The 20,148-nt window shown below is 38.3% G+C and overlaps 1 protein-coding gene and 1 long non-coding RNA gene across 53 annotated transcripts in view, besides 6 other annotated features; one reads left to right on the forward strand and one right to left on the reverse strand.

Annotated features, from left to right (window-relative positions):
- Nucleotides 3,666–3,745: an enhancer, noted in NCBI's record as "active region_26226". NCBI's record gives its function as "activates an Ori minimal core promoter by ATAC-STARR-seq in GM12878 lymphoblastoid cells {active_cell/tissue: GM12878}" and the evidence as "EXISTENCE:reporter gene assay evidence [ECO:0000049][PMID:35858748]".
- On the reverse strand, nucleotides 11,122–12,192 carry DMTF1-AS1 (DMTF1 antisense RNA 1). Of its 2 annotated transcripts, none has more exons than NR_136253.1 (2): nucleotides 12,001–12,192; nucleotides 11,122–11,357 (listed from the first exon to the last, which is right to left on the reverse strand). It is a non-coding gene; the product is annotated as a DMTF1 antisense RNA 1 (long non-coding RNA). The 2 variants fall into 2 exon arrangements; NR_136252.1 differs by having other exon boundaries at nucleotides 11,449–12,016.
- Nucleotides 11,222–11,785: an enhancer, noted in NCBI's record as "NANOG-H3K27ac-H3K4me1 hESC enhancer chr7:86780839-86781402 (GRCh37/hg19 assembly coordinates)". NCBI's record gives its function as "activates a minimal SCP1, AML or CMV promoter by ChIP-STARR-seq in primed H9 embryonic stem cells {active_cell/tissue: H9 hESC(primed)}" and the evidence as "EXISTENCE:reporter gene assay evidence [ECO:0000049][PMID:30033119]".
- Nucleotides 11,701–11,940: an enhancer, noted in NCBI's record as "active region_26227". NCBI's record gives its function as "activates an Ori minimal core promoter by ATAC-STARR-seq in GM12878 lymphoblastoid cells {active_cell/tissue: GM12878}" and the evidence as "EXISTENCE:reporter gene assay evidence [ECO:0000049][PMID:35858748]".
- Nucleotides 11,701–12,347: a biological region, named in NCBI's record as "NANOG-H3K27ac-H3K4me1 hESC enhancer GRCh37_chr7:86781403-86781964".
- Nucleotides 11,786–12,347: an enhancer, noted in NCBI's record as "NANOG-H3K27ac-H3K4me1 hESC enhancer chr7:86781403-86781964 (GRCh37/hg19 assembly coordinates)". NCBI's record gives its function as "activates a minimal SCP1, AML or CMV promoter by ChIP-STARR-seq in primed H9 embryonic stem cells {active_cell/tissue: H9 hESC(primed)}" and the evidence as "EXISTENCE:reporter gene assay evidence [ECO:0000049][PMID:30033119]".
- Nucleotides 12,152–20,148, forward strand: part of DMTF1 (cyclin D binding myb like transcription factor 1) — a 43,873-nt gene continuing 35,876 nt past the window's right edge. For 10 of the 51 annotated variants that reach the window (NR_024549.2, NR_024550.2, XM_024447020.2 and 7 more), the window contains exon 1: nucleotides 12,152–12,254. The gene's annotated coding sequence lies outside the window, so the exon portion shown is untranslated. Of the gene's footprint in view, nucleotides 19,521–20,148 lie in introns of all 51 variants that reach the window. The other 41 variants (XM_024447016.2, XM_047421126.1, XM_047421119.1 and 38 more) reach the window with 23 other exon arrangements.
- Nucleotides 15,563–15,692: a silencer, noted in NCBI's record as "silent region_18343". NCBI's record gives its function as "represses an Ori minimal core promoter by ATAC-STARR-seq in GM12878 lymphoblastoid cells {active_cell/tissue: GM12878}" and the evidence as "EXISTENCE:reporter gene assay evidence [ECO:0000049][PMID:35858748]".

Genomic DNA, 20,148 nt, shown 5'->3' on the forward strand with positions numbered 1-20,148 from the left:
AGAGGCTGAAGAAAATGGTATTGATTAGGATGTAGACTCAGCTGCAGAAACAGAGACCCAAACTATAAATTGATTAAACAGAATAGGAGTTTACTTCTCTCTTGTGTAACAGGATGTAGTCAACCAAAGATAGGCATGAGGATTTGACAGTGTCAATCTATCTTGTTGCTCCACTATTCCTGTTGGCCTTATCTACACAGTTCCAGATGATTCATTACCACCACATGCCAGGCAGAAGGAAAGGGTCAAGGTGAAAAGGAGGGCGTGCTCATTCCTTTAGGGAAAAAGACAGACATTGTACTTCAGTTCTGCTTGCATCACACTGGCCATGGTCATATAATTATACCTGGTTGCACAGAAGGCTGGGGAATATATTGTTATCTTGGCACTCAAATATTTTACTTTTACTATAGAAGAAAGGAGGAATGAAAATAAGGCTCAGTATAGTCACTAGCACAAGGAAGCTCAAGTATATCAGCCTACTAAAACGCTATATAAAGGGCAAGAAGACAAATTGGCTTTGTTCCTGAGAGGTAGGAGAGTAGGAAAGACAAAAAGGAAGCCACAGGAATGATAGAAGGCTATGATTCCTCTCAGAAACTTTTTACTCTATTATGAATTTCTTTTCTAAAATCTTGGAATGAGAACCCTGATGAAAACTGGTAAAGAAACTCAATTTTTTAAGGTAAAATAAAGTACTACATTCCTGAATGCAAAAATTAGAGGAAGAGAGAGCCATGATAGTATGAAACCCTGATAACATACAGAAGACTATGGAAAGCTTTGAGTTTAACTGGACTTTGGAATTGGACATTAAGAAAACCTTACACTGATTTCATGAAATAGGAGATAGGAGGCCTTGCTGACTTCTGAGTACCAACAGTTTCTTTTAAAATCTGTAACATTTAAACAAACAAGGGTGCTAAAAGCAGAATTAAGCATAAATGAAAAAAAAACATGGTTTCTTTAAAAATAATCAGTGTAGAGTTCCTAATCATGCTACATATAGCAATCATAAAGTTGGCAATTTTAGAGAGCTTTAGTTAGACTTAACATAGTGTTAGTTTTAGCTACTGGAAATAGACATGAAGTATGAATCACTTTCCTGACTGAAATGTAGGCTAAATGTAACTATCACAGATTTTAAGAATGCCACCTAAATTTCTTCTCGACCACATTTTGTGTACTGACACTAAGACATCAGTAAAGGAAACAGGATGAATTTCCAGTCTTTCCAAAAGAGGCCAAATGGACTATAGTTTATAATGTTAGTGCAAACTACACAACAGATGGACAACTGTGCACTTCTGACAGATTGAGGCATGCCTGATTACAAAATAATTCATTGCTGAAGAGGCCTCGTTACCAGTAGAAGCTCTCATGGAGAAAGTTTAGTCAGAAACAAATAAATATTAACAGTCAGCAGGAAAACTTAGGTAAGCTTTGATGTTTCATTATTCATAGAAAGTGAACTTTCAGATGTTAACCACGTATAACACAGGCAGCCGTCTTAGAAGAAATTGCTGTTGATCAATTAGTCCACTCCTTCCTGTATAAGCTGTGGAAGAATAGAAGTTTAAAATATCTGGTCAACTGATGTTCTATACAGAACATCATTGTGTCCTATTTGAACTACTGGTGGGAGTTTCAGATTTCTGCCCAGATACTCAGGTAATGTCTATGTTACTAATTACTGACATGTAGAATTCAGGTAATTTTGATAACTATTTTACTTTGTTGCAACATAATAAATGTGGGAATATCTATTACACTGACAAACACATTCCTTTTCTGCACACACTATGACTTGCAAGTGCTTGTGTCCATTATGTATTAAAATATGTTGAAAGTAATAAGCAACAAATTCAGCTTCTAACACGTAACATTTGCAAAATCCTCATCTTTTTAATCCTTTAATCTCTTGTGAGCAGGCTCAACATCTCTGAATTTTGCCCTATAACCACTTCTGATCTTGTCTCTATCACTTGGAAAGGACTCAGGTAAATGCTCCATTTCCAGCCCTTTTGGGACTCAGGGGCATCTCTATAGTCTTTAGAATACCCTCAGCTGTGCTGCTTTTCTCCTAAGAATACTGGAAATTTCCAAGTACATGTTTCTGCCAATCTGCATTTCCTATGTTGCAGTGTTGTAAACTGGAACTCTAGTCCTGGTTATCCATTCCGTTTCTCCCAAATCTCAAAATCTTTTGTAAAGAAAAATAAGATAATGAATTATGACATATATACATATTTTGTGCAAACTTGTAACTATGTAAAACCAAATACCACTTAATATAAATGCTACATGTCAAATGTTTCTTTAGCATAATAGTATCTTTGAGCTATTAATTGGTTGCTACTCCCTCCTGCACATTCTTGTACCTATTACGCTTCCCCCCAATAAAGGCAGCTTTGATACTTTCTATACTGACAGAAAACATATATATGAACTAGAACAAATAAATATTTAATGGATTTTTATAAATTTATATGAGCCAATAATATTGAAATCCAGAGCTTTTGATCTTTAAGAGCCAGGAATTATGGAGAAAAAATGGACTTGGAGAGTCTAAAACCTTTCATTTGAAAACTAAAAGAAGGGCATAGATTACCTAGATCAGAGTTTATATCATGAACCAGAGCACAGGGAGACTGCTGATGACATAAGGGCAGTTTTTCCAACCAAAACAAAGTGAAACTTTTGACAAACTTACAAGTACCAGTAGGTACCTGAGAAAAGCCCCCCATATGATACTCCCTTCTAGGAGTCAAAATCCTAGGGTGGCAGGAGAGAAAATAATAGAAACCCCATATTTTGAGGAAATCTCAGAGAAGAAGGAATTACTTTCTCGTTTTTCAGAGTTCAGTCCAGAAGATTCTATGTTCTGGTTAGCTAGTGCTAGGAAAAAAACTACCTTGAAACATAATGGCTTAAGACAACAATCATCATTTTATTATTGTTCATAGTTTCTGTGGACCAGGATTTTGGGAAAGGCTGGGATAAACTTCTGGGTGTCTCATGCTTTTGCAATGAGATGATAGCTGGATCTGTAACAGTGGATGAAGGGTGTCCAAAAATCCCTTCGAAAGGTAGAGTCTCATCTCTGTTCCCTTGGGTGTCAGCTGGCCTTAGTGACTCACTTCTTTTTTTTTTTCTTTGAGACGGAGTCTCACTCTGTCGCCGAGGCTGGAGTGCAGTGGAACAATCTCGGCTCACTGCAACCTCTGCCTCCTGGGTCCAGGCGGTTCTCCTGCCTCAGCCTCCTGAGTAGCTGGGATTACAGATGCCTGCCACCACGCCCAGCTAATTTTTGTATTTTTAGTAGAGACGGGGTTTCACCACGTTGATCAGGCTGGTCTTAAACTCCTGGCCTCAAGTGATCACACAGCCTCGGCCTCCCAAACTGCTGGGACTACAGGCGTGAGCCACTGTGCCCGGCCAGTGACTCACTTCTAATGAATAGAATAAAGTCGAAGTGACAATATGAACTTCTGAAACCACAAAAGGCATTCCAGCCTCCTGCTTGCTGTCATTCTTAGATCACTTGCTCTCTCAGGAAAGCCAGCTGCCATGTTGAGAGGACACTCAAGCAGCCCTATAGAAAGGCCCATGTGATGAGGAATTAAGGCCTTCAGCCAGTTGCCAGGGATGATGCCTCTCATCAATAGCCATGTGAATGAGCCATCTTGGAACTGGATCTTCTCATCTTGGTCAAGCCTTCAGATGACTGCAACTTCAGCTGACATCTTGATTGTAACCTCGCAGAAGTCCCTAAGCAAATCAGACAGTCACACCACTCTTGAATTCCTGATTCACAAAAATTGAGGTTATTAAACTCTGTGGTAAGCCACTACATTTTGGGGCAATTTGATATTACTATGAGGCGACAGGTAACTAATATGGAGGAGAGGCTGGAGCAGTTAATGGCTCTCCAGTCATTCACCTCTTCTCATATAGTCTCAGGCCTCTCTGTGTGGCTTTTCTGCATGGGCTAGTTTGGCCTTCCTCCTAGTATAGCAGCTGGACTATTTACATGATGGCTGATAGGTCTTTTATGACCTATTTTCAGAAGTCACATAGCACCACTTCCTGCATATTCACTTCGTTAAAATTGCCACAAAAGCTGTCCAGTTTCAAGAGGAAGGAGTCATATACCACCACCTGTCACTGAGAGAAGTGTCAGAGTCACATTATATAAAAAGGTTGTTGGATGGGAGATACTGCTGTAGCTATCTTTGAAAATATATGACCTGCTACATTGCAAGCCTTATAGGGAAGTTCCATAAGAAACAGGGCATTTGAGTAGTAGATTAGCAGAGTTATAAATGTAGGAGTCATCAGTGTATAGAGGGCAATTGAAGCCATTGGAGTGGATGACATTACTTAGGGAAAGAGGATAGAATAAGAAAGAGACATAGGCTTAGGGGTCACCGTGAAGAACTCTAAAATTTAAAAATCAGGCCAGCAAAAAAGTGTTTAAAGAAGTAGGAGGAATTCCAATGTACTGTATCAGAAAGCCTAGAAAATGCATTTTCAAAGAAGGAAGAGGTGGTTATTTCAGGAGGAAATGTTGCTGACAAATTAAGTAAAATGATCATAGAAAATTGTTCATTGGATCTAGCAGTGTGGAGGTCACTAATAATCTTCATAGCATGTTATGGGCAGAAATCAGACTATAGTGGTGGAAAACATATAAAAGGAAGTAAGAATAGTTCTATGGGGAGATGAGATCAAAAGCACAAAAAGAGGAATTAGCCTTGAATAAGAGAAGGAACATCTCTAGGATCGGAGGGAAGGAATTTAGAATGAGCACAGATGAATGCATGGGGATGGAGGCAGGCTATTGAGGGAGTTTATGCTTAAAAATCTCTGTAAAGGTCATTTATTTATAGAGAATTAAAAGGAACATCCATCAGGGTGTGAGAAGCACTCCGAAAGCTTGTTACAGAGTGAAAAACAGTTACATTCCTTGCAAACCTGCAGCGTATGATCCATGACTTCTTTCATTGGAATTGAATTTCACTTTTTACTTGTTTAAACAACAATAAAAAGAAAAACAATCAACCACTTTTCTATTTAAATTTTCAAATAAATAAAGGATTTAAGAATATCACACTGTAACACCAACTGAATATGAGAATGGTAGGAAAACCCTGGTCACTTGTTGAATGCTACCATCAATTGTAAGCCATTTACCCAAGAGAAATCTAAAATCCTTCTTTCGATTTATTACTTTATCAAAAATATTGTTGTGGTAAAGACATATAAGAAAGCCCTAAAAGTGAAAGGCTTCAGATTTATTTTCAGTGTTACCCATAGCAGGAGACGGATTTCTTATATAGTACTATATTTACTGTGACCTTTTCAAATAACAGTTATTTATAACATTATGTATGAGACATTGTTGTATCACATATTTCTCTAGCAATTGGTCTACAATGGTAAAGTACCATGGATTCCTTCCCAGAGGAGATTCTTGTGAAAATTTATTACAGGCTCAAGATCAAGAGTGTTCTCAGAGAATGATTCCATGGCAGACAGCTGTTCGGCAAAAGAATAGAAAAAAGAAAAAAAGATTCCAGCATCATATGAAAATGGACTTCTGTTCAACAAAAACAGAGCTTATCCAACAGAGATAGAGAAAGGAGTTTCACCTTATTTCAGAAAATGACTGCGATAGCCTTGTCTTGCTACACCAGGTTGAATTAACATAGGCCAAAAGTTCTACGTAAATGTATATTTCTGGTTAAGAAATGTAAATAAACACAGAAAACAAGATATTAGAGATACTGTGACTGCTGAATTCACATATCTTCCTTATCCTAGGTTTGCTAAAATAGATATAATACTGCTGAAATTACAAAATATGATTATATATAATAAGGTTATTCTCAAGTCTAAACACCCCATAGAAACTCTCCTTTCCTAATCCTATTAGCCCCAATTTTATTAAATTAAAAATTATATATTATATGACTTCACCTCTGCCCACTTAAGATGCAGTCACTGTAACAAAAGTACTATGCTATGGAATTTAATTTGATACAGTTATATTTACTACAACTTACTACAATGTAATTCTTAAACTAGGTATTAAAAGACTGGGTTGATATTTCAGGTAATTTTAGAGGAGAAATAACATGTTTGGCAGTGTTTTCTGTTGGTTCAGATCTTAACTCTTAACAATTTCAGGTCCAGAAAGACCTCTACATTGCCCGTGTTTATATACATACGTTGTATGTCTATTAAAGGGATTCAGAGAACACCAGCCAAAGGAGATTCAAGAGGACGTATGTGTTTCTCTTGTGCATAAAACACTTTGCCTAGAAACATGAAAACAGAAATTTCCAAGAAGAAACACATTGACCCATCTTTTCTAATACTAGTAATTTAGCTTAATCTGATGATACCAAGTGATTTTGTCACAGGATCCTTTGAGAGTCACGTCACCAGCCGGAAACCTCTGTGGCCGGCAGCACCTCTGCTTATGTTTCGCTCGCACCAGCTGGGCTCATTCTGCCCACTTGGCCTGGCAGACTGCCCTCGGCTCGCACTACCAGCCTTGATCCCAATGCCTGAGGATGGCAGGCCAGGCGTGAAGCGGTGAGGGGTGTGGGAGTGAGCGAGCGCGAGGTCTGGCCACTGCACACAGATAGGCACACTGGATGCTGCAGTGAGGCAGGCAGCTCCAGGCACCAGCACAGGCACCTGCTCCACGCGAGAGGCTGCAGCTGGACCAGGCATACTTCAAGCGGCTTCCACTGTGGGCACCGGCGTCTGGACGAAGGGAACATGGTGGCACCTGAAAACTTGGGAGTCACCAGCAACTGCAGAGCCCCCCAAGGGCGGGGGGTGGGGGTCATGCTACAGCTCTCTTTCCCACTGCCTGCAGCTCAGCGAACCAGGGCGGGGACATGTTTCAGCCCACTCAGTCCTCCTGCCTCACTCCAGCCCACCACTCCCGGGATGGCTCAGCCCCACCACCGCTTCCCATCACGTGGGGCAGCTGCCCAACACCAGCAGATGGCGGGAGGGCTATAGTGTTACAGCTCTGGCTCAGGGAATCCCAAGGTCTGGGCCTCCAAAAGACTCGCTGCTCTTCACTCCCCTAGTCGAGCAAGTGGGAGCATGTCATCGCCCACTGCTCAGTGAGCCAGCCAGGAAAGTGTTATAGCCCTTTTCATGCCCTCTCTTCTGCAGGTCATGAGTTCTTGTCCTGCATCCAGGAAAAATGAGGTTACGTGGATAATCGGAGGGTGAGCAAGGCAGAGAAGAGTTTCACTGAGTGACAGACAGCTCTCAGCAGAGAAGAGACGCAAGTGGGTAGCTCCTATCTGCAGGCAGGTAGTGTTGACTCGTGGATGAGTCCAGGGTTTTTATGGGCTCAGAATGGAGGAAGTGTGTGTTAACTGGCCCATGGGTGGGAGGAAGTGCGTGCTGATTGGTCCATGAGTGGGCCTGGAAAAAGCACCATTTGATTCATTCAAAGGCATTAAGAAAGTTCTCACTCTGGGTACTGGATTCTACTTGGAACTGGCGGCCCGGTTTTCAGGCTTCAGGCTGTCTTTGGCTTGAAGGTCAGGTTTCACTGGGACCTGTCCCATCCACCAAGGAATTTGTCTGCCTCCTACTGCTATCAATTTGATTCATATTTTGTTTTCTTCCCTCATTGTTAATTATAAGCAAGTTTTACAGGCAGTTGCCAGTAATTTAGTGAGTACTTTACCCAAAAAAGTTTGGCACAAAGATGCACTTATACTACTATAATGTAAGCTCCTCCATTAGAATATATGTTCCTTGAGAGCAGGGTTGTCTCTCTTGTTCTCCATCATATTTCCTGTGCCTAAAATAGTGCTCAGCCCAAAGGAGGTGCTCAGGAAGAGCTGCTGAATGAAATGACCGAGTGTATCACAAATGTGCAAACTCCTGAAAGTTATAAACATTATCGTAGTTCCTTGTTTCTTCCTGTTTCACTGCATATTCTGTGCAAAGGAATTAAATGTACAGTGAATAGAAGGGAAGGGGATTAATCCAGAAGTCTTTTAATTCTAGAGAGCTTTCTCATATTTTGATTTCAAAGCAGAATCCTTATCCCTTTAGCTTTATTACTGTTGAGGCTTGTCCTTGGTCTGCCACAGCATATCATTAGCAATGAAGGCCCCAAAATTTCTATCTACTGTTGAAGTTACTACTTGGGAAAGAAAAAACAAAAACAAAAACAAAAAAAAACTCCTGCTGAACAATAGGGACATCTGCTGGCTAAAATGACAAGCTTCTATTCTTAAAATACTGCATCTAGATGCACAAGACTTGGGCAATAAGGTTTAGAGTAACACCAAATATGTGATGTGTTAAAATAACTTCTTTCCACTTGAAAAATAGGTAACATGTGTTTGTTTTAGTCCAGAATTGTCCAAGTAGCAACACTATCTGGAAAAATACTGTGTGATCGCCAGTAGTCAGCTGTTCTTGCCAAAGAATAGAAATGGCTAGCTTCCAAGTCTTCTGGCTTAAGATAATTATCTTTAATATCAACAAACATTTAAATGTCTGCTAAGTTAAGGTATTGTGCCATATATTAGCAAATCAAAGCTCATGGCAAAGGGGTAAGATGGCCCATTTCTGCTATGTCTGGGCATGCACTGAGCTCTAGTCTCAGAGGAATAGGAATACTATTCAGTCTTAAAAAAGAAGAAAATTCTGCAATATGCAACAACATGGATGAACCTTGAGGACATTATACTAAGTGAAATAAACCAGTCACAGAAATACAAATACTACATGATTTCACTTATGTTAAGTATCTAAAATAGACGAATTTTTAGAATCAGAGTGGAATGGTGGTTTACCAGGGGCTGGGGAGAGGGGATGGGGAGTTAGTAATCAGCGGGCATAAAGTTTCAAGTAAGATGAATAAGCTCTAGAGATCTGCTGTACAACATTGTACCCATAGTCAATGATAATGTTTTATATACTTAAAATTTTATTGAGGGCAGATGTCATGTTGTGTTCTTACCACAATAAAGTTTTTTGAGAAATTCAGCTAACATTTGCAAGGGACAGCCTATCACCTGGCAGTGCTCTGCTTTCACCATTTTATAAACATTTTACAAGCCAGTTGCTTTCTGCAAATATGCTTTCATGCACTAGCTTGACAAATGCTTTCCCACCTTGCACCCCCTACTATGCTTCTTTATTCTTACCTTTCTGCTTAAGTATCTTCTCAGAAAGGCCTACTCTGAACTCTCTATGTAAAAGTTCACTTTCAGAGCACCCAAGTTGTATCTTTCTCAGAACTTACAAAACATGGCAATTATTGCTTAGTTAACTAATACATTGTCCCTCTCTCTTCCATGCTAGATTATAAAGGAACAGGTCTTTGAGTCTGGGTCTGGATATTATCCTGTTTTAGTGAAGTATCTGAACTGTTTTGTTTTGCACACCAAAATTACAAAGACAGAACAAAAATTTTTATCCTTATTGGCTAGGAGTATTGGACGCCTTAGCTCTCCATTCCCTTGATAAGGAAACACTTTTCTGGCTAATATTCTATCAATAGGTCTCAACAAAGATTTACCACAAAAGAAGAAAAAAGTGAAGTGGATATAGAGAGGTTGTCACCAGGCTGAGGTATTAAAAGGATTGCAGAGATGAGACACATAGGCAAAATGCAAGGCGGGAAAAGGATTGTAAGATGGAGTGTCATAAGGCCCAGAGGGAAGCCTACAGGAAGAATCTGAGACAGGAGACCACCTGGTAAAGCCTGGTGTGTGGGCATAACTGGGACAGTTTATTCATTCCTCCATTAGCACAGCAATCTCCATCAGCTGGAAGGCCCTACAGTGTATACCCATCAGCTATATTAACAGGACTCAGAGCCTGTGTAGAAAGAAAATTACTCAGTAATTGTAATTTTCTTTTACTTTGAACAAAAGCTTATAAACATCTTTTTTTTTTCTGAATTAGCAAAAGATGATCATGAAACAACAGAACCTGCTTCTCAGTATTTGAAATACTTTATATTAATATATCAACCTGTCATAAAAGGCAATTTCATCATCAATCACTGATGAGGTTCACAAAAGTGTTATAGACACCTGGAGTCCAACAAAGTCAATTTTAACTAGCAAATGCAGTAAATACCATAGCTAAGCTATAAATACTTTAATAATTATTGTTTAGGATAGAAATACTTCTAATGATTTTTCTACAAAACATTTAATTCCTAAATAGGTAAATCCTTGGATAATATTTAAAACCTCATCCATTCCCTAGGTACACATTGACTAAATAATGAGGTACGGATAACATAGAAGTATAACTGCAGAAAATTGCTCTAGGAATCAAGTTGTGTTATGGATAGTCTTTACATTGATTATTCAAGCTAAAGGGATAGAGACGTTATTATATTTTTTTAAATTATGCATTAAGCTAATATTAAAATACATTTGTCATCCCCAAATAAATACCAATTGACTTGGGAAAAGGTAGTTATAAAAGAAACTCAACCAGAAAGGGAGAATTTAGTTATGAGGATGCACTTGACTTTTTGCGGGGAGTTAGCAGCGTGCAGGCTGACCTAAAATTTAGCAGAGGAGAATGGATAGCCCGACTATAATTTATATATCACTATTTTGTGCCTTAGCAAAAATAATCCTATATGGTTATGTCTTATGAAAAATATGGCTCATTAGGAACCACCTTATCAATGTTAATGTCAACAATTTTGCATATGTAATTATTATTTTATTAGAACTGCTCTTTGAGTAGTTGTATTGCTTTCCTGGCTTTAAGGTTTATTAGTTACCATTTTTAATGCTTAATACACGTCAGATTCCATGCAAACTACGCTGTCTACAATATTCTGGAAGGTACATCTTATTACTCCTAAAGTAAACAAAGCTAAAAGAGGTGAAGTGCCATATCCACTACTAAGAAATGGAGCCAAGATTCACACTCAGGTCTGACTGCCTGAGTCCATACCACGATACTATTCTGCCTCATAGTTTTGCTTACATAAACATTATTATGTACTTATTAAAAAATGGAATGATACACGGCTTAACTCCAACAGAATGCAGAGTGCCACAAATTAGTAATAAAGTTATCAACACAAGAAAATGCTGCTTCTGAGATTTATTTTTGAAAATTAGTCAAACATGTCGATCCTCCAGTAAAGCAAAGCATTTGTAAACTGGTTGTAATCATTTGTTTTCGTTATGAAAGTACTGCCAAAGTGTATTTTGTGAACTGCAACCGGGTAGTTCAGAACACAGGCTTTGGAGCTGAGGCTTCAATTCTAATTCCACCGCCAACTTGGGAGCCCTTGGACACATTCCTTCACTTCTCTTTGGTTCCTGTGTAAAATGGGATTCATTTGTAATAATTGTAGCGATGCACTTAGAACTTATGAACATTAAATGAGTTTAATATACGTAAAACATTTACCTGTCACATACGCACTCAAAGAATGCTGGCTCACATTACAGAACCCAAAGGCTTATTTATCCTTTTCGTTTATAAGGGTATTAAAACGCGTTTTCTATTTAGGATGGGTTTATACGGCTGCAACCCAAGGAGCATCTGTACTTTTAAGAGGAACTGGGCACAGCAAAACAGCATCTTCCTAGTCTAACAGTGAGACTACATTCACAGAGGACACATTTCATCAAGAACGACTTAACACGCCCAGATATCTCATATTATGCCCCTGCGGTAAGGCAAATCAAGTATGAAGACACACACTCCCTGTTTTCTTCAGCACTGAGATCACTGGTTCCCTCCGTTCCACACCGCGGCTCCCTCGGCTCGGAGCCACAGGGAACTATGAAAATCGGCACGCGAGGCCTAAGTGTCCCCAGAACCAGAGGAACCACAGTTGCGTCATAGCAGAAGGACCTCTTTTACAGCATCAGCAGTGGGATAGTCAGTGCCGAGTTTTCCTGGCAGGACAGCCGACAACCACCGCCACAGACCAGTACAAACATTCCAACCCAGGACCTTTTTTCGCGCGCCGACACAGCCGGAAGTGACGCGTACAGCCAGCACGCTGGGCCGCCAGCGGGACAGACGAGCGGGAGGGGCAGCGTGCGGGGAGCTGGGGGCGGGGCGCGGCCGCAGCTCCGTTTCCGGTGGCTCGTCGCGCTCGCTCACTCCAGCTGCAGCCACTCTCGCCCGTGGCTGCTTCCTCCATCCTGGTATTTTTTGGAGCTTCCATCCTGGTTCTTCCAAAGTGCCCGGACCCAAAACAGGAAGTAAGTGCGATGGAACCTTCAGGTTCCAACCGCCGCCAGGGCCGCTCCGCCCAGTGGAGCCTGTCCGGCCCCCTTGCTGCCCGCTAGCTCCCGCCGGCTGGCGCAAGCTGTCGGCGCCGGGGCACTGCGGGCGGGGTCGGAGCCTGGCCTTCCTGACGTTGCAGCTGCCGTCCCCGCACGTTCCGGCCAGGGCCTCCCTCTTAGGGCCGGGCGGTGCCCGTGGCTCAGGCTGCAGAGTAGGGAAGCGAGCGGCTGCCGAGGCACAGCGGCGATCCGGCGGGGGCGGAAAATGGCGGCGGCTTCGGAGGAGCTAAATGGCGCCGGGACCCCTGGGGGGTGGGGTGGGCCGGGAGGTTGAGTAGAGAACTGGGCCAGAAGGAGTGGAGACAGTAAGGAAGCCCTACTTGTTTTCTCGTGGTGTTCTATTTTTAGTTTTTATTTTTGTTACGTTTTCGGTTTTGTTTTATGGTCCAGCGTAGGAGAGGTAGGCTTGGGTGGGGTCGAGAGAGTGGGGGTGGGTCTCGACCCAACTTCCCCCCCTTTGCTTTTTTGTTCTTTTCCCTCGTTTGCGCTTTAGATTCTTCTGTAATTTTGCGGGGGTTCAGCCTTGCTCGGCGATTCACGGCCCAGACATAGAGAATCGGGATAGCTGGCCGAACCGTCTCTCTCAGTCTGACTCTCTTTAAAGAAGGGATGTGGGCTGGGGCGCGGGGACAGTCCTGGTGGAGCACGGAAAATGCGGCTGTAAAGTTGTAATTACCCTATTGTGCCGAGTTCCGAGAAAGTTCTTAAAATTGTTAAGTCCACTTTGTTCTCTAAAATGTACTTCGCTTTGAGAATTTCTTCAGGGAGGTATGTAGAATGTTTTACCACAATCTCCAGAGCAGATTTGAGAGTAGAAGTGGCCAAGTGCCCTTTTGTGCAATTGAATGATAGAGCATATGTCTTTATATAAAATACTCGGTGTAGATAAGGAAAAGGATAATAGTATACAGTATGAGTCAGGACTCCTCCCTTTCTCTCATTGAATTTGTGTAGTTGCTTTTTTCGCAACTCATTCATCTTTGTGTACCTCTTTTTAATGTACATGGATTTGATTATGTGTGCCTCCTTTCTGACAGTCGAGGCTGCATGTTGGGACGTCCTACAAAATGCATATTCTGTGGAATTATTTTTTAATATGACATGTCTTAAGCTTAAAGTGACGCCATTTGGAAAATTTTAAATTATACCTGTATTTTTAATTCGTGGGAGAAAACCATTTGTAGCTTTTAAGCTCCAAATACGAAAATATTCTTCCACTATGTTGAAAGTATTGCAAAATCTGTTTTTTTCAGTTAAGGGTTTTCATGTTTTTTCATTACTTCAAATTTCTTTAAGCTGGTTTTGAAATTATATTTCAAATAGCTTTCTGAGGATTACTGTCTTTTAATAACTTGAATAATTTGCCATCACTTTAACATTTAAAGAATGACTATGGCGATACACCAAAATCTTATCTTTTTGCTCTTATGGTGTACTTAGAGACAGGATTTCATGTATTTGGTTAGGATTTAGAAATTCTGTTAAGATTTAGAGAAAAAAGGTTAAAGCTACATTCCTTAACGTTACAAAAATTGTCATGCTGAGAGAATCCAATTTGGTGTGAGAATAATTTTTTTCTTCCATACAGAAAGCACAAAAACCAGCCTGATTGTATCTGGAAAAAACCATTATGTTACAGGTGTGAAAAATACATTTCATGATTGTGGTGATTTTTATCTCATTTTAACTCTCGATACTAGGTGCTTCTGTATGCCACCAAACAAGCTAATTTTTTTTCTTACTATTTTAGTTGATAGGCTCACCCCAAAATATGCTTTTGGGGACTGATTTAGCACCTGCATATTCTGCGTGAATCTCTTTAATTGGTTGCAGTTGAGCTAATGGTGGAGCCAAAATGCTATTGCCCTGTCTTCATCAACATTTAATCAGTAAGTACTGGGCATTGCATCTTTCTTAGAACTTTAAGTTCATACGTTGCAGTTATATGAATACATTATTTTATGTAAACATTTTTCTGAGTGTTCAGGTTTTAGAAGTATTTTGAGGGGAAGAAATCAAAGTTTGGGCGTTATGACTTGAGCTTTGAAAACAGCATGGTTGGGAAATGTTTACTGGTGGAGACTCATATCAAAAGTAGATAGCTGTCCTCTAGTCCTTTTTTTAGAGATCTCTTTTTTCAATCCTTTAGTTATCTCATTACACCCCAGGGGTGCTTTAAAGGTGGGGAGATAGTGTATGTATTTTATAAGGTTAGTTTGATATCACTGGTTAGTATTTAAATAACAACAAAAAACTTGCCTTTACCTCCTCCGCAAAAAATCTTACCTTTCTATTAGCCTCATTTATCTCTCCAAAATCTACAGACTCTAATTTTTATTAATGGTGTAATAAACTTACATGTCCTGAAAATAACATCTCATTATTTTAAACAGTTGCCTTTGCCATGCTTCATTAAGTGCATTGGCTTAAATTAACACCTGTGAGGATGAATGGGATAATGTGAAACAAGTATTCCTAAGGATTTACTGCCTGGCACATAGATGTTAAAATATTGAGGGAGCTTAGAAGTGTTTTTGAAAGTATTGACGTCTTGCATCACTTGTATTAAACACACATCTGTCTGTTGCAAAGACATCAAAAGCTTAGAAAGGAACAAAGTTTAAGGAGGGTTCATTCTACTTTTTTTTATATCTTATGTAGAGACTGCATATTTAACACTGAGGTGGTGTTCTGCCTTTCCAAAATGGAGTTTTCCATTTTAATAGTCCATTTTTTTTCTTACCACCATCATATTTTTCCTATATGAAAGGATTTCCTAGGAATTGATATACTTTTAAATGCTTTGCAATTGCAGCTCCTTTATGTCTCCAAATGATACAAGAAGACCCGAGAAAGTGGTAAACTAAATGATTTTTATTAAAGTAATTGCCAAATATTAAAGATAAAATATGGATAGTTACCAAATGTATGTGGCGTTTGTTTACTTTCATGTCATTTCTCCGTTTATCTTGATGGTGCTTTCATTTTGTGAAGAAAATTCCTGTAATAGAAATCACAAATAGATTTTGTGTTTGCTTTGATTCTATAAAGGTAGATAAGTTTAAATAAAAGGAGGAACGTGGTTGTGTCTCCCCCACCCCACCCCCGCCCCACCCAAGTTTGTAGAAAGATAATCCATTCCATGACTGAGTACTAGAAATAAGTTGTCAGAGAAAAGCACACTGGAGAGCTCATTATGAACAGTTTAATTTTCTATCATTTCATATATTTAAATGTCATTTTGATTATGTACACTGTTAGGTCATTCTTCCAAGCACCAGTGGTCAAAGCTGATTCATTCACTTCCCATCAGGTGTTACGTATCAGAAATGCTCATTAGGTTTATTTTAGTGCCGGTGTATATTTTAGTATCTAATGAGTAAATGTGCTTTAAAAATTAACTTCACTGTAAATCACAGGTGTCTGGTGATACTGTATATGTCCATGTAAAGAGCCTCTGATGGTGCCTTGTAGAAAAGTACTCAGTTTTGAAAGGATGAAATCTTTCAAGTGTGGCGAATAACACATTGTAAGCTCCTGAACCATGCATGAAGTGAAAAATAACATTTTTGCTTTTTGAATAAGCAATATAGTTTTATTGTCAAACCAGATATGAAATGCTGCACCTTAAAATCCTTGCTATTAAGTAATCCTCCTTACTCAAGTAATAGTGACATTGTTTTCAATAGTTGGTAATTGAAATCAACAAAGCCTGCTAGAATAGACTCCACTAACAGCTCTGTTGACATTTTTATGATATATAATCATATTTTACCATCTTAAAACCAAGCCATAGTAAACATTAATTAGGTACCTTAATTGAATATGCCTTATGTTCATTTATGGCTCTGCTGCTCAAACTTTTCCACAAAGTATATAGAGGAACAAATCCCACGGGGCCTGGCACCATAGTCCAAAACATTCTTCTTCAAGTGTGTAGTGTTCCTATTCGTATCTTGAATAAAGTTTGTGCTTATGAAGATGTTATGCTTATTCTATGACCTTACCTCTTGTCTGACAGCCCTCTGTGTACCCATGTTTAGGATGTATGAATTTGTTACCTATTATCTTCCACTAAGATTTTCTACTAAGCAGACTTTCATTATTTCAAAATAAACATATCTTAAAATTTATCTTCCAAATTCCTTAGACGTTACTAAGCAAATTCTCTTTTAAGTAGTTTTTAAAGCATTAGTTATACAATGATAGAGTAATAGTCCATTTGGAGTTTTATAATAACATAGCTACAAAAATGTTGAGTAATAGGTACGAATTAGATAAATTTAGATCTATGTGCTCATTCAAAATGTAAAGTAGTAATGATACTGGAAAATGCTCCTGATACAGTAAGTACAAAAAAGTGTGACAGTATGATCTTGTGAAAACAGTAAAAGATAGGCATGCTGATAACATGGGTAGAAGACTTGCAAATCACATAGAAAGAACATGAATGATTTTTCTTATACTGTATTGGGTCAGGAGAAAAAAACATCTGAAAACTGTCCTTACTGCCTTATTAGTTGATCTATGCCAGAGACTGTTTCTCAGCCTGTGTTTCTCAGTCTTTAACTCACCTAACAAAATTGTGGTGCTATATGTTCTGTAGCTTGCAAGATTTCACAGTATAAAGTGAGTGTATTAAAATAGGGAATGTTTTATATCATGTGGTCTCATCCCATGTTCCATTTTAGAATCACAGCTCCAAGCCTCTAGGGTCAGCAAATGTTGGTTCCTGTGCTGCTCATGATTGCCACTAATAGCATCTAAACTCTTTCATACTTGTATCAGTACTGTAGTTGGAAATGAGTATACAGCTGTTTACAGAATTAGCCCCCAAAACTGGGAAGAAAGGTGACTTTATTCCTTGATTCTGGTTTTTAGAAGATATTCAACACTTAAATGCCCAGAAAAATCAGGACGATAGGTAGACTCAATTGATGGAAATACCAGTCTAAGATAACCCATTGGATAAGAACTTTACATCAATACTGAAAGGAAGAATAGCATGAATAACTCATTTCTTTAATTGAATTCTGTGTTAAATAACAGATCCAAGAGTTATTTCTTTATGCTTATCCCTTTTCGTTCTTCCAGGCTATAGTATATTAAATAGGTTCATCTTTTTCATTGGGAGCTATAAGGTTATATTATAATGAAGACACAATAACTCCATTATAAGAGTTTTGTACCACACTTAAGGTTATGTGTTTTTTTTTTTAAGCCACCAGAATGGTTTTATTTTTGTCATTGACAACATGTACAAACCTGCAATTGTATAATTGTTTTGTTTGGTTTTTAAAATACTAAGTACACATTAAAAGTATGTTTTAAGAAATATGATGCATTAAAGAAGTTCACTGTAAACATAATTCTCAATGTATTTTCCTGCCTTGTTTCATGCATAAATAACAATCTAAGTAGTCATAAATAAAACTATCAACTTTTGTGGCCCAGAAGTATATACAAATTTTGAAGTTTGGCAGAAGGTGTTCTGTATGGTTTTATAAATTAAAACGCACAGCATTTGTATTGATTATTAATGAAATGACTTATCCCAAGTCCTTATTGTATCCCAACCTGTTCTGTCAATAATAAACGTTCCAATGTACTTGGTAAAGATGCCACATGTTTAAAAACTCAATGATTAAAATAATTCTAAAAGGTAATTTAAATAGTACTCAGTCTTATTAAAACCACTTCAGCTTGTCTGAAAAAATGCTTCTAAGGAGTGAATTCTGTACCATTATTTAAATGGCATCTAACAAAATCTAAAATTTAAGGAATAAATCAAATACATTTTAGTCTTGCAAAAAAACTTCATTGAGATTGTTACAGGAACAGAATGCTATCCTAAGTTTTCTAAAATTTATTCTTGAGTCATCAATGAGTTAAAACTTTAAGAGTTATAATAATTTTAGAAAGCCATAATTCTTGATGCAGAACATGATTAGTTTTTAATGACCAGAAATTATTTCTTCAGAAAGCATTAAATAACTGTTGAAACGTACCACCTATCTAGTGATTTATCAAGTAATCACTCAAGATTTATTAAGTACACATTTAAATTTTAGGTAATAAAAGTCAACTGGAATTTTGTACATTTCACTGTATTTCATTTTATACTTTTTTTAGGTCTTCATTTATAGGGTATAAAACTTAGAAAACATTCTTAACCAGTGTCTTCCTTAGAGTTAAATGATTCAAACAACAAGTAATGCTAAGCTAAATGCTGTCGTTAATACTGAAACCTAAGTTTCTAAAAGTTGTATTTTTCAATCAATACAAAAATGATCTGGCTCACTGTAAACTGCCTAACTTTAAAAAACTATTATTTGTTAAACAGCAGATTACAAGAAATGTTTCCCCTGTTCTTTTAAAAAACAAGATTATGAGATACATAATCTAAATAAAAATTTACAGATGGTGGTTGAAATCCTGTCAACTTTCAGCCCAGTGTAACAAATTCCATAGTTATGCATGAATAATTCAAAATTAAAGTTTTTAATGGAAATGTCAGTAAGGCATATAACTACATTTGTCAGGCACATGATAAGACTAGAAAATTAAAGCTATCAAAGCTATAAATAAGGAGTGCATAAATAACAGCAATGCCAAAACATTAGGGCTGTTAAAATTTAAACACATCTGATAGTTCTTTCTGTAAGCCACTCTCCACTGATAAAGCTATGGATAAAACTTAATTCCTTGCACAGCTTTCTAATAACTGATGATAAAGCTGAATTCCTTGTTCATAAAGCTGTACACCAATAGAATTTTCACATCTATTCAAAATTCTTGAAATCTCAAGCAGATCGTCCATGGTTTTCCTAACTGCATTTGGATTTGCTGCTACCCTCAGGTATTTTTTTCTTTAACGTGCTAAGGTATTGTGCTATTTAAAGATACACAGCAAATGATGAAAACATGCAAAAATGCCACTTCAGTTAAAATGGCTGTTAAAATTGTGTTTATTTTTCTTCTGTATCTTCTCGTTTTTAGTGTAAAAATAGTACATATGGTATAACCCATTACAAAGAAGGAAAATTGAGCTGATGTGCAGTCATGTGTTGCTTAATGACAGAGTTCTGAGAAATGCAGTTTGGGTGATTGCATGTGAGCATCATAGAAAATACACAGACCTGTACAGCGTGTTACTGTACTGAGTACAATGTTAACACAATGGCAAGTATTTGTGTATCTAAACATATCTAAATATAGAAAAGGTACAGTAAAAATATAGTGGTATAATCTTTCAGGCTTACCATATATGCACATTTGATTGTTGACCAAAATGTTACGTGTTACATGACTGTCTTTATTTTGCTCCAAAAAGGACCAAAAAAGTGATAGCAGAGTTGGCGATTTTCCTGTTTTCCAGATAAACCAAATGGGGAGGGATTCCAAAAGTTGTTAACCATAGGTTCATGTATAATGAATTGGAATAAAGGCACTAAATTACTAAACTTTCTACTCTACTATCACAATTTGATTTATTTTGATTTATTCACCACCGTTTCTTAGTCCAACATCAGAATACAGATGTATTCTGTGTAACAACTGTCTTGATTGCACTTGGTCCTTTTGTTCTAATTTGAAAGCTAAACTTCGTGAAAAAAGTATCAGTAGTTTGTCATTTCTTTTTTTTTTTTTTTTTGACGAAGTCTCACTCTCGTCCTCCAGGCTGGAGTGCAATGGGACGATCTTGGCTCACTGCAACTTCCGCCTCCTGGGTTCAAGTGATTCTCCTGCCTCAGCCTCTCGAGTAGCTGGGATTACAGGCGCCTGCCACCACACCCGGCTAATTTTTGTA

The sequence above is a fragment of the Homo sapiens genome, chromosome 7, assembly GCF_000001405.40.
Source record: "Homo sapiens chromosome 7, GRCh38.p14 Primary Assembly".
Classification (NCBI taxonomy): Eukaryota; Metazoa; Chordata; class Mammalia; order Primates; family Hominidae; genus Homo; species Homo sapiens.